We start from the raw sequence: 14,048 nt of genomic DNA, 5'->3' as shown, positions 1-14,048 counted from the left end.
GAGTTACTGCTCGACAGTGCTTCCAAGGGATGCTGTGCAGATAAATTTTTGTGTATAATGTGTTGGTCTCTCCCAAGATAGCTCTCTCACAATTTTGTTTAGAGTGCAGTAGAAATTAAAAATCAGATTCCAATAACTTTGGAATTTGTTCTCTCAACCACCAAAAATGACAGCACTAATTATTTTTTAGCATTAACAATATGTATATTGAAGATTTGGTTTGGATGTAGCATAGATTATTTAACTATACCACACTAGCCAAATTGTAGCCATTTTATAGCAATTATAATAATATTCACTATTATTGAATTTGAAGATTTTTTCCAAACTCATAGATATGATTTGTATTTCCTTGATAATTAGGGAGCTTGCACATCTAATGTTTACTGGCTATTTGTATTTTCTCTTCTCTGAAGTTGCCTGTTCACTTCTTTCTTCATTTTTCTATCATGTTGTCTTTTTCTGGCAAATTTGTGTGAATTTAATATGTATTCTGGATAGTAACCCATTGTCTGTTACATACGTCACAACTATGCTCTTCCTTCATGTGTATTCTAATTTTGCTTATGGTATTTTTGATGATTATAAGTTTTACATTTTGATACTGTCAAATATTTCACTTTTTATTCATTGCTTTTATGTTTCATGTTTTAAATAAGGCCTTCTTGTTTCTCAAGGTTAGGAACATTTTTCCCCCAAGCTAAACAAAGTTTAGGATTTATTTTTATGTGTAAGTCTTTAATACGTCAGAAATTTACTTGTGAATTGTAAGGGGAAGTACTGAATATAATTTTTTAAAAAATGGATAGCCATCATTTATTACAATGGACTATCCTTTTGCCCATAATTTAAAGGCTACCTTTTTGATGTAACAAATCAGCACATGTGCACATGCTTGTTTCTGAACTTTTTTCTGTTCTCCATATTGATGTTTGTCTATTATTATCCAAAATCACGCTTTTAATTGGTGTTCACATTCTAAAAGCTTTGATGATACAGCTACTCCCTTGCTTCCTTCAGAGTTTTCTTACCTGACCACCTGATAGAAAACAGCGCCCCATCTCACTCTCTAACTCCTTTCTGTTGCTTTATTTTTCTCCAAAAGTTTTATCCCAAGCTGACATCACACATATTCTGTTAATTGTTCATGTGTTTTCCTACTCCCTTCACTAGCACATAGCTCCTTTAGTGACAGGCTTTTCTCCATATTCCTCACTGCTGGCTCTGTAGCACCTAGAAAAGTGCCTGACAGCCAGGCAGAGCAAGAGTCCGAATAATACTTGGTAAATGAATGAATGGATATCTGGTGGGGCAACTTCCTCATTGTTTCTTTTTCAAAATTATCTTTGCTATTCCACTATATATATTATTCGATTTGACTTTTAAAAAACAAACTTTCAGTTACTTGAAAAATGGTGCTGGTATTACATTAAATTTACACATCAATTTAGGAAAAAATGACTTTTTTTTTTTTAACAATAATGTGTTTCCCCATGAGAGAACACAGGAACAAAAGCATGCTATATTTCACCATTTATTAAGATTTGCCACTATGTCCTTCAGTTTTATTTTTGCAAACTTTTGATTAGGTTTGTTTTAGTAATTTTATGAGTTTTTTTGAAATCATGAATGAGATTTTAAAAATTTTCTTAATTTTTTTCAGGTACTTTGCATACCTGGTTAAAATATCAATAGGATGTGAGGCATCTTGCCTCACATCCTGTTCCTTCTTCTTGACCCCATTCTGTGTCTTGTACTTCTGATACAGCCACTCTTCACTATTTTAGCTGTTTCTTCTGGTGTGTCTTTAATACAATGTGATTCATTACTTTTAAAAATTGGCTCTTGTCTTGCTACTAGGATGGATAGGACTTTGCTGGCTTGCACCCACCTCACTCCCCTACTCCTGTTATTTTGTGTTTCATCAACTATGGGCATTCTGTTTCCTCTTGAATCTCAGCTTTTGCCACATACTCTGAGGGTCTTCTGTAACTATCTGCACTAAAGTAGTCTGTCAGGCACCCATTGTCACCTTGACCTGGCTTAATTTTTACATGCTACTTATCTTTTAGCTCTCATTTTGTGTGTGTGTGCATATCTGTCCATCTCCTACTAGAATATAAGCTCCATAAGAGCAGGGACCTTGTCTTTCTTGTTCATCTTAAATTCCCAGTGCATTAAACAGTATTTGACATATAAATCTTCTTTGCGTAAATAAAAAAAACAAAACATCATCTTCTATGTTGCCCATATTCCAAATTACAGCTAATGTGAGGATTTTGTCACTGACTATCAGCCACCTGTTGAATTCTTCTCAGCACTTGTCAGGTGACTTGTCCCAGTTCTGTTGCATGGTGGGTAGCACAATGGACTTTGAAGTCTACTATATTCTACTTGCAAGTATTTTATATTGCACAGCTTCAATTTTCCCATCCATGATATCATGAAGAACACTTTTCTTATGAAGATTCAATGAGAAAATAAATAAATATATATATATATATAGTACCTGATATGTGGTAAGCACTTAATGAGTCAAGTTAATATTTTTAGGAGTAGGAGTGTTTGGAACCAGACAGACCAGCATTCGTATTTCCTCACTAACACATGCTGAGACTTCTAGCAAGTTATTCCACCTCTTTGAGTATCCATTTCCTTATCTGCAAAATGGAGATAACTTCTGTGAGGTTGTTTTGAGGGTTAAATGTGTTTCATTCTTATATTCAACACATTTTTATTAAGCCCCTACTGTATGCACTTTACTAAGTCCTAGGGATACAGCAGCGAACGAAACAGACAAGATTCCTGCTCTCTTAGAGCATATATTCTTCTAGGACAGGGGTTGGCAACTTTTTCTGTAAAGGGCCAGATAGTAAATATTTTAGACTTCGTGGGCCATGTGGTCTCTGCTGTGGCTACCCAGTTCGGCTATTGTAATGAGTAAAAAAGCCATAGACAATAGACAATAATGAGAAAAAAAGCCATAGACAATGGATGTGGCTGTGTTTCAGTAAGATTTTATTTATTAAAAAAAGGGCGGTTGGCATGTAGGTCATAGTTTGCTGAGCCCTATCCTGAGATAATAAACTTGTAAATAAGTTTATAAATGATTATGAAGAAAAAATAGAGTCATGAGATAAAGTAGCTCTGTTACCCTGATTCTCTAACCAGGGAGGTGAGGAAAGACCTCACTGAGTGGGTAGTACTTGAGTGCAGACCTGAATGCTGGGAAGAACAATTTGAGCAGACCAAGTGGCAGGTGCAAAAGGCAGGTGTAGCTGACATTGTGTGAAGAGCAGCCTGGAGGCTGGGGTGGCTGAAGTCTGGGGAGTCAGGAGAGATAAGGTCCTGTTAGACAGGTTTTGTGCTTAATGTGATCTGTGATTTGAGTCCCTTGGCTCGGTGTTAATATTGAGTGTTTGATGGCAGCAGAAGATGTTCAGTAAGCACTTCTAGAGCTGAAGATAGCTGTGCAAGTCTGTAGTAATAGGAATGTGGCTCTGAATTTGGAGCTAGGTAACTTGGAGTGAAAACCTGTGACTTTGAGCTTTAATCTATTAAGCCTCAGTGTTTCCACGCATAAAATAAAAGAACTAAATTAAGGCCCATTACGTTATACTTCCAAGACTTAAAAGCAGATTTATTCTGGTTCTTGGCCCAGTGCTTTGAGTTTTGAGCTCTTCACCTTCTGAGAGTAGCTAGTTTTATATGATTGACTGTAGTTAGTATGCTGTGAATATGTGCTCATAAATGTACTATCATAAAGATAATAAGAGCTGAGATTTATTGTTTACCATGTGCCAGGCACTGAGCTAAGTAGAATGGCAACATTCGGAGGAAGGTGTAATTTTTTCTTTCACTGTCAGTGACCAGTAAGTCACACCTTATAGATGCCTCCCTTCTTCCACCCGCTGCACCCTACTCCAGCATCACTTTAACTGATGGTTACTGTTTTTCCAACTTAAGGGTAGGAGCTTCATATGGCTTTGAAGTGATATTCTATTCATGGCAACAAAACACAAAAACTAAGGTTAATTATTTTTCTTCTGGCTGGGCAGAGGCTCCTTAATGAAAACCTTAAGGAAGCAATGAGGTAGAAGCAGATGTTTTGACTCCAGCAGTCATGTCTGAAGAGCTGGTGGCTGTTAGCCACACCACTTGTACATGTGACTACTTATAAATAACTTTTGTTAAATTTTAATGAGCTTTTTTCTAAAACTTTATAATAATGCCTGAAAAGTTTTGCATTTTGTTGGTTTTAAATTTTGGTGGAGCACAGGAAATATTGAGGTATTCCTTGTACTTTGGGAACGATTTAAGTAGGTAGATAAGAATTTCTTCCTAGAGTTTTTTCCTGTATTTTAAACTTTTGCTCAAACTTGTGGAATTGTGTTTTGCTGTGGTTAAGTCTTGAGTGAGTAGTACATTTGCTCCACTAAGTAGTGGGCCATACATGATCAAGAAACAGACTTCAGAGGACCATTTTCATATGGTTTCAAGGAATGTGTTTCTTTCTACTCTAGGGTCATTTCACCTCTGGCATGCTGAATGACAAGTCTCTGTGGACAGACATCCCTGTGAATTTTCCAAAGAATGGCTGGGCTGCAATTGGAACTCACTCCTTTGAATTTGCACAGTTTGACAACTTTCTTGTGGAAGCCACACGCTAATACTTAACAGGGCATCATAGAATACTCTGGATTTTCTTCCCTTCTTTTTGGTTTTGGTTCAGAGCCAATTCTTGTTTCATTGGAACAGTATATGAGGCTTTTGAGACTAAAAATAATGAAGAGTAAAAGGGGAGAGAAATTTATTTTTAATTTACCCTGTGGAAGATTTTATTAGAATTAATTCCAAGGGGAAAACTGGTGAATCTTTAACATTACCTGGTGTGTTCCCTAACATTCAAACTGTGCATTGGCCATACCCTTAGGAGTGGTTTGAGTAGTACAGACCTCGAAGCCTTGCTGCTAACACTGAGGTAGCTCTCTTCATCTTATTTGCAAGCGGTCCTGTAGATGGCAGTAACTTGATCATCACTGAGATGTATTTATGCATGCTGACCGTGTGTCCAAGTGAGCCAGTGTCTTCATCACAAGATGATGCTGCCATAATAGAAAGCTGAAGAACACTAGAAGTAGCTTTTTGAAAACCACTTCAACCTGTTATGCTTTATGCTCTAAAAAGTATTTTTTTATTTTCCTTTTTAAGATGATACTTTTGAAATGCAGGATATGATGAGTGGGATGATTTTAAAAATGCCTCTTTAATAAACTACCTCTAACACTATTTCTGCAGTAATAGATATTAGCAGATTAATTGGGTTATTTGCATTATTTAATTTTTTTGATTCCAAGTTTTGGTCTTGTAACCACTATAACTCTCTGTGAACGTTTTTCCAGGTGGCTGGAAGAAGGAAGAAAACCTGATATAGCCAATGCTGTTGTAGTCGTTTCCTCAGCCTCATCTCACTGTGCTGTGGTCTGTCCTCACATGTGCACTGGTAACAGACTCACACAGCTGATGAATGCTTTTCTCTCCTTATGTGTGGAAGGAGGGGAGCACTTAGACATTTGCTAACTCCCAGAATTGGATCATCTCCTAAGATGTACTTACTTTTTAAAGTCCAAATATGTTTATATTTAAATATACGTGAGCGTGTTCATCATGTTGTATGATTTATACTAAGCATTAATGTGGCTCTATGTAGCAAATCAGTTATTCATGTAGGTAAAGTAAATCTAGAATTATTTATAAGAATTACTCATTGAACTAATTCTACTATTTAGGAATTTGTAAGAGTCTAACATAGGCTTAGCTACAGTGAAGTTTTGCATTGCTTTTGAAGACAAGAAGATAAGTGCTAGAATAAATAAGATTACAGAGAAAATTTTTTGTTAAAACCAAGTGATTTCCAGCTGATGTATCTAATATTTTTTAAAACGAACATTATAGAGGTGTAATTTATTTACAATAAAATGTTCCTACTTTAAATATACAATTCAGTGAGTTTTGATAAATTGATATACCCATGTAACCAACACTCCAGTCAAGCTTCAGAATATTTCCATCACCCCAGAAGGTTCTCTTGTATACCTGCTCAGTCAGTTCCTTTCACTCCCAATTGTTGGCAGCCATTGATAGGAATTCTATCACTATAGGTTAGTTTTCTTTGTTCCAGAACATCATGAAAGCGGCGTCATGTACTGTGTATTCTTATGAATGGTTTCTTTCCATCAGCATAATGATTTGAGATTTGTCCATGTTGTGTGATTCAGTGGTTTGTTCCTTCTTATTTCTGAAGAGTTTTCCATTGTATGAATATACCACAATTTGTTTCCTCCCCACCAGTTTCTGATACTACAATTAAAACTGTCTACATTTACAATCTTTGTGTCAAATATATTTTTATTTCTTCTGGATGAATACTGAGGAGTGAAATTCCTGGGTCTTATGTTAATTGTATGTTTAACTTTATAAGAAACTACCAAACTGTTTTCCAAAATGATTGTATGGTTTTACACTTCTATCAACAATGTTTAAAAGTTCCAGTTACTCTGCATTCTTGTCAGTGCTTCATGTTGTCATTCTTTTTAATTTTAACCCTTAATTGTGGGTGTATAGTATGTACATTTCTCTGATGACTAAAGCTATTGAGCAGATGTCATGGACTTAATGGACATTTATGTACTTTGTTTTATGTAATATCTATTCAAATATTTTGCTCATCTAAAAAATTCTGTTTTTTCCATTGAGTTTTAAGAGCTCTTTACATCTTCCAGATACATGTTTTTTTAAAAAAAAAAAGTTTTGAAAATTATTTTCTCTATTTCTGCAAAGAGCCTGATGGAATTTTCATTGTGATTGCATTTAAATTATAGATAAATCTGGAGAGAACTGATATCTGACTAATATGGACCCTTCAAATCCATGAGCAGTTACACCTTTTTAAAAATTTTATTTTACTTTAAGTTCCAGGATACATGTGCAGAAGGTGCAGGTTTGTTACATAGGTATATGTGTGCCATGGTGGTTTGCTGCACCTATTGACCCATTCTTTTAAGTTCCCTCCCCTCGCCCCCCACCCCCCAACAGCCCCTGGTATGTGTTGTTCCCCTCCCTGTGTCCTTGTGTTCTCATTGTTCAGCTCCCACTTATGAGTGAGAACATGCAGTGTTTGATTTTCTCTTCCTGTGTTAGTTTGCTGAGCATGACGGCTTCCAGCTTCATCCATGTCCCTGCAAAGGAAATGATCTCATTCTTTATTATGGCTGCGTAGTATTCCATGGTGTATATGTATCATGTTTTCTTTATCCAGTCTATGGTTGATGGATATTTGGGTTGGTTCCATAACTTTGCTATTGTAAATGGTGCTGCAGTAAACTTATGTGTGCATGTGTCTTTATATCAGAATGATTTATATTCCTTTGGGTGTATACCCAGTAATGGGATTGCTGGGTCAAATGGTATTTCTGGTTCTAGATCCTTGAGGAATCACCACACTGTCTTCCACAATGGTTGAACTAATTTACATTCCCACCAACAGTGTAAAAGCACTTCTATTTCTCCACAGCCTCACCTGCATCTGTTCTTTCTTGACTTTTTAATAATTGCCATTCTGACTGGCATGAGATGGTATCTCATTGTGGTTTTGATTTGCATTTCTCTAATGATTAGTGATGTTGAGCTTTTTTTCATGTTTGTTGGGTAGGTAAATGTCTTCTATTTGAGTAGTGTCTGTTCATATTCTTTGCCCACTTTTCGATGGAGTTGTTTTTTTCTTGTACATTTAAGTACTTTGTAAATTCTGTATATTAGACCTTTGTCAGATGGATAGACTGCAAAAATGTTTTCTCATTCTGTAGGTTGCCTGTTCAATGTGATGATAGTTTCTTTTGCTGTGCAGAAGCTCTTTAGTTTAATTAGATCCCGTTTGTCAATTTTGGCTGTTTCGCAATTGCTTTTGGCATTTTCATCATGAAGTCTTTGCCTATGCCTATGTCCTTGGTGGTATTGCCTAGATTTTCTTCTAGGGTTTTTATGGTTTGGGTTTTACATTTAAGTCTTTTATTCATCTTGAGTTAATTTTTCTATAAGGTGTAGGGAAGGGGTCCAGTTTCAGTTTTCTGCATATGGCTAGCCAGTTTTCCCAGCACCATTTATTGAATAGGAGATCCTTTTCCCACTGCTTGTTTTTGTCAGGTTTGTCGAAGAGCAGATGGTTGTAGATGTGTGGTGTTATTTCTGAAGTCTCTGTTCTGTTCCATTGATCTATATGTCTGTTTTGGTACCAGTACCATGCTGGTTTGGTTACTGTAGTCTTATAGTATAGTTTGACATCAGCTAACATGATGCTTCCAGCTTTGTTCTTTTTGCTTAGGATTTTCTTGGCTATATGGGGTCTTCTTTGATTTCATATGAAATTTAAAGTAGTTTTTTCTAATTCTGTGAAAAATGTCAAGGGTAGTTTGATGGGAATAGCATTGAATCTATAAATTACTTTGGGCAGTGTGGCCATCTTCATGATATTGATTCTTCCTATCCATGAGGATGGAATGTTTTTCCATTTGTTTGTGTCCTCTGTTACTTCCTTGAGCAGTGGTTTGTAGTTGTCCTTGAAGAGGTCCTTCACATCCCTTGTTAGCTGTATTCGTAGGTATTTTATTCTCTGTGTAGCAATTGTGAATGAGAGTTCATTCATGATTTGGCTCTCTGCTTGTCTATTGTTGGTGTAAAGGAATGCTTGTGATTTTTCCACATTTATTTTGTATCCCGAAACTTTGCTGAAGTTGCTTATCAGCTTAAGGAGTTTTTGGACTGAGATGATGGGGTTTTCTAAATTTAGAATCATGTTATCTGCAAACAGAGACAATTAGACTTTCTCTCTTCCTATCTGAATACCCTTTATTTCTTTCTCTTGCCTGATTGCCCTGGCCAGAACTTCTGATACTATGTTGAATGGGATTGTTGAGAGAGGGTATCCTTGCCTTGGTGCTGGTTTTCAAAGGGAATGCTTCCAGTTTTTTCCCATTCAATATGATATTGGCTGTGGGTTTGTCATAAATAGCTCTTCTTATTTTGAGATATGTTCCATCAATACCTAGTTTATTGACAGTTTTTAACATAAAGAGATGTTGAATTTTATCAAAGTCCTTTTCTGCCTCTATTATCATGTGGTTTTTGTCTTTGGTTCTGTTTATGTGATGGATTGTGTTTATTGATTTGCATAGGTTGAACCAGCCTCGCATCCCAGGGATGAAGCCAACTTGATCGTGGTGGATGAATTTTTTGATGTGCTGCTGGATTCGGTTTGCCAGTATTTTATTGAGGATTTTCATGTTGATGTTCATCAGGGATATTGGCCTGAAGTTTTCTTTTTTTGTTATGTCTCTTCCCAGTTTTTGGTATCAGGATGATGTGTTGTACAGTGAGTTAGGGAGGAGTCTCTCCTTTTCAATTGTTTGGAATAGTTTCAGAAGGAATGATACCAGTTCCTCTTTATACCTCTGGTAGAATTTGGCTGTGAATCCATCTTGTCCTGGGCTTTTTTGTTGGTAGGCTATTAATTGCTGCCTCAAGTTCAGAACTTGTTATTGGTCTATTCAGGGATTCGACTTCCTCCTAGTTTAGTCTTGGGAAGGTATATGTGTCCAGAAATTTATCCGTTTCTGCTAGATTTTCTAGTTTATGTGCATAGAAATGTTTATAGTATTCTGTGATGGTAGTTTGTATTTCTGTGGGGTCAGCGGTGATACCCCTTTATCATTTTTTATTGTGTCTATTTGATTCTTCCCTCTTCTTTATTAGTCTAGCTAGTGGTCTATCCATTTTATTATTTTTTTCAAAAAACTAGCTCCTTGATTCATTGATTTTTTTGTAGGGCTTTTCGTGTCTCTATCTCCTTCAATTCTTCTCTGATGTTATTTCTTGTCTTCTGCTAGTTTTTGGATTAGTTTGCTCTTGCTTCTCTAGCTCTTTTAATTGTGATGTTAAAATGTCAATTTGAGATCTTTCTCACTTTCTGATGTGGGCATTTAGTGGTATAAATTTCCCTCTTAACACTGCTTTAGCTGTGTTCCCCAGATTCTCGTATGTTCTCTTTGTTCTCATTGGTTTCAAAGAACTTCTTGATTTCTGCCTTAATTACATTATTTACCTAGGAGTCATTCAGGAGCAGGTTGTTCAATTTCCATGTAATTGTGTAGTTTTGAGTGAGTTTCATAATCCTGAGTTCTAATTTGATTGCACTGTGGTCTGAGAGACTATGATTTCAGTTCTTTGGCATTTGCTGAGGAGCAGTGACACCTTTTCATACATTAAGTCTGTAATTTCTCTCAGCAGTTTCTGTAGTTTTCAGCATACAGATCTTGAAGATGTTTTTTATTAAATGTATCCTTAAATAGTTTATGTTTTTGATGCTATTGTAAATAGTGTTTATTATTTGTTACTCATACATAGAAATACAGTTGGTTTTTGTATATTGACCTGCAATCCTGCTGCCTTGCGAAATTCACTTTTTAGTTTAGCTTTTTTTGGGTAAATTCTTTAGAATTTTCTACATATATAATTATGTCATCTGTGAATATAGACAATTCTGCTTCTTCCTTTTCAATATTTCTGCTGTGTTTCTGATGCTTTTGTTGCCTTATTACACTGACCCGGACTTCAAGTACAATGTTGAGAAGTGGTAAGAACAGATGTATCAGCCTTGTTCCTCATCTTAGGAAGAGTCTCTTTCACCATTAAGTGTGAAGTTAGTTCTAGAGTTTTCTTTCTTTTTTTCTTTTTTAGATTCCCTTTAGGGAATTTTTTTCATACTTCCTGCTTGCTTATGAATGAGTACTGAATGTTAAATGCTTTTTTTCTACATCTAATGAGATAGTTATACTATCTTCTTTATTACGTTAATGTGATATATCACATGGTTTGATTTTCAGATATTAAAGCAACTTTGCATTTGTGAGATATGTCATGACGAAGTGGGGTTTGTTACCCTGTTTATGTACTGGTGAATTCAATCTGCCAATATTTGGCTAAAAGTGTTTGTGTCTGTGTTCCTGTGGAATATTGATCTAGTTTTATTTTCTCCTAATGTCTTTATCTGGTTTGGTGGCAGGGTGATACCTCATAAATTCAGTTTGGAAATGCTGCCTCCTTCTTTATTCTCTGAAAGTTTGTGAGGTTCTTAAATCTTAGAATTCATCAGTTGTATCAGTCAGGGTCCAGTCAGGAGACAGAAACCATGCCAGGACCAATCTAATCTTAAGAATTATTAACAGTAATGAGATTAGCAGCTAAGGGGTAGAGAGAACTCCAAAGAATACAGGAAGAGCAGATGTAGAGACCAGCCACTTCCTAGGCCGGGGCAGAGTACTCACAGCGGGAACAAACTCGGAAGAGATCCTCCTTACATGGCTGAGGCTCAGATCTCAACTGCAGATGATATAGTGTTGATATAGTGTGACCCTGGAATGGCCTAGAGTTTGCTGAGATGCTGTGTGCTGGGGCTGGCAAGTGGGAAACTGTCTTCTGGGGTATGTGTCAGACTCCTGGGGAAGCTCCTCCTAAGGCGCTGCTGAAACTCACTAGGAAACCACCCTTTGTGGTGCTGGTGAAACTTTCTGGGAAACCACCTGTAGGATTGTTGGTGAAAATCCCGGCAAAGTAAGTGCCACTGGTTGTTCCAACTCCTACTGGAAGAGGTGCTTCACTGGGTGTCCCAAATGCTGCTTGCTAGTAGCCACATGCCACAGAAGCAGGAAGGAAAAAGCACACTGGGACAGAGAAGAGAAGCTGCTTCCTCCTGCAGTGTCTTTATAACCTTCACTGATAAAGCTTAAGTATGCCATCTGACACAGGAGAAATGTTGGCAGGACCCAGCTCCAGTATCATAAAGCAGGTCAAACGAGTGGGTTTGAGGCTGAGAAGATTTAACAGATACAGGGCTATTCCAATTTTTCTTTCTTTTTTTTTTTTATTTTTTTTAAGAGTCTTGCTCTATCTCCAGGCTGGAGTGCAGTGGCGCAATCTCAGCTCACTACAACCTCTGCCTCCCGGGTTCAAGTGATTCTCCTGCCTCAGCCTCCCGAGTAGCTGGGATTACAGGTGCGCACCACCATGCCCAGCTAATTTTTGTATTTTTAGTAGAGACGGAGTTTCACCATGTTGGCCAGGATGGTCTCGATCTCCTGACCTCGTGATCCACCCACCTTGGCCTCCCAAGGTGCTGGGATTACAGGCGTGAGCCACTGCTCCTGGCCAATTTTTCTATTTCTTATGTCAGTTTTGACAATTTGTCTTTTAAGGAATTTGTCAACTTCATCTAAATTGTCTAATTTATTGGCATAACATTGTTTAAAATATTCCTTTATTTTAATATCAATAAGACATTCCTGATATGGCCAATTTGTGCTTTCTTTTTATCTTTATTGGTCTAATTAATATTTTGTCAATTTTATTTATTTTTCAAAGAACCAGTTCTAAATTTCTTAGATTTTTTTTTTCTGTTTCACTAATTGCTGCTTGTACCTTTATTATTTAGCCTACTTTCAGATTAAATTTACTCTTATTCTAGTTTCTTAAGATGCAAGCTTAGATCTTTGATTTTAGACTTTTTTTAAGTATGTAAACATTTAACACTAAAATTTAAACATTTATTTAGTTGCATCTCACATATTTTAATATCTATGTTTTAATTTTCATTCAGTTCAGAATGTTTTCTAAGTTGTCTTGTACTTTTTTGACCTTTGTGCTAATTATTGTAGAAGGTCAATGTTTAATTTCTAAGTATTTGAAGATTTTCCAGGTAACTTTTTGTCATTGATATTGAAACTTAATTCTGTTGTGATTAGAAAATATGTTGTGTTTCATTTCAACTATCTTAAATGTATTTAGACTTGTTTTATGACCCAATTTATCTTAGTGTACCCATAAAAATAATTTGCCTTCTGCAGTGACTGGCTGTAATGTATTACAAATATTAATTAGGTCGTGTTAGTTGATCGTGTTGATGTCTATGACTTACTGATTTTCTCTCTACATTTACTGTTAATTACTGAGTGAGAAGAGTTAAGCTCTCCAAATACAGAAAATATGTGTTTTCTATTTCCCTGTTCAGGTTCAGTCTGAGAGGTTGATTCTCCTGGGGCATTCTAGCTCTAGTCTAGCCCTGTTCTTAAGGCGTGGAATTCCCTGGGAGCTAAATGAGTTCTCTCCACTATATTTGTTCACATCTTAAATATCTTCTAGTCCTCTGATAATTTTGATAGTTGTTCAGCTAACACTTTCCTGATTATTCTTTGTCTGGCCCAAGGGCTTTCACACTGTGAATGTTTAGCTTAGTTTAGGGCTAAAGACACAAATAGACCCCCCTCTGAGATTTCTGAACCTCTTTTTCTGCATAGCACCCTTCTCTCAGATACTCTGCACTGCAAATTTCAGGTGCTGCAGCCTCTTTGAACTCTGATCTTTATCTCCACAGCTCCACAAGACCCATATACTCTGTATTTCCCCTCTCTGCCCTGGAATCTGGTAAGTGGCTCCAGACAGAAATGGGGGATCACAAAATGCACCTCACTGATTTCTCTGTTTTTCTCTGATCACAGTACTGGGCTTCCTGCTGTCTACTCTCTGAAACTGTTGTTTACAGTGGGAGGACTGGTCCAGTTTTAGTTTTTATTCCCTCAAGGCTGGACATGGAACTCTCCATTCATTTACTTGAATATCTGGCCATCATGAGCCTTTTTTAATTTTTTAGAGACAGAGTCTCATTCTGTCACCTAGGCTGGAGTGGAATGGCACCATCATAGCTCACTGCAGCCTCGAACCCCTAGGCTCAGGCAGTTATCCTGCCTCAGCCTCCTGAGTAGCTAGGAATTACATGCATGTGCTACCACACCTGGCTAATTTTTAATTTTTTTTTGTAGAGATGGTGTCCTTTTCTGAAATATTTTGACACTAAGACAGATAGTCCCCAACTTATGATGGTTCAACTTAATGATTTTTCAACTTTATGATGCTGCAAAAATGATACACATTCAGTAGAAACT

General features: G+C 36.7%; 1 protein-coding gene across 12 annotated transcripts in view; it reads left to right on the top strand.

Moving 5' to 3' along the window:
* GALC (galactosylceramidase) overlaps window positions 1–6,388 on the top strand; it is a 60,654-nt gene extending 54,266 nt beyond the window's left edge. For 11 of the 12 annotated variants that reach the window (NR_187582.1, NM_001424076.1, NM_001201402.2 and 8 more), the window contains one exon: window positions 4,524–6,388. Coding sequence is in view for 11 of the 12 variants with exons in the window: in NM_001424076.1 (NP_001411005.1) it covers window positions 4,524–4,670 (147 nt within the window). In the remaining variant the exon portion in view is untranslated. The remainder of the gene's footprint in view (window positions 1–4,523) is intronic. The other variant, NM_001424073.1, reaches the window with a different exon arrangement.

The sequence above is a fragment of the Homo sapiens genome, chromosome 14 (genome assembly GCF_000001405.40).
Source record: "Homo sapiens chromosome 14, GRCh38.p14 Primary Assembly".
Classification (NCBI taxonomy): Eukaryota; Metazoa; Chordata; class Mammalia; order Primates; family Hominidae; genus Homo; species Homo sapiens.
This window is presented reverse-complemented; position numbering and strand designations above follow the sequence as displayed.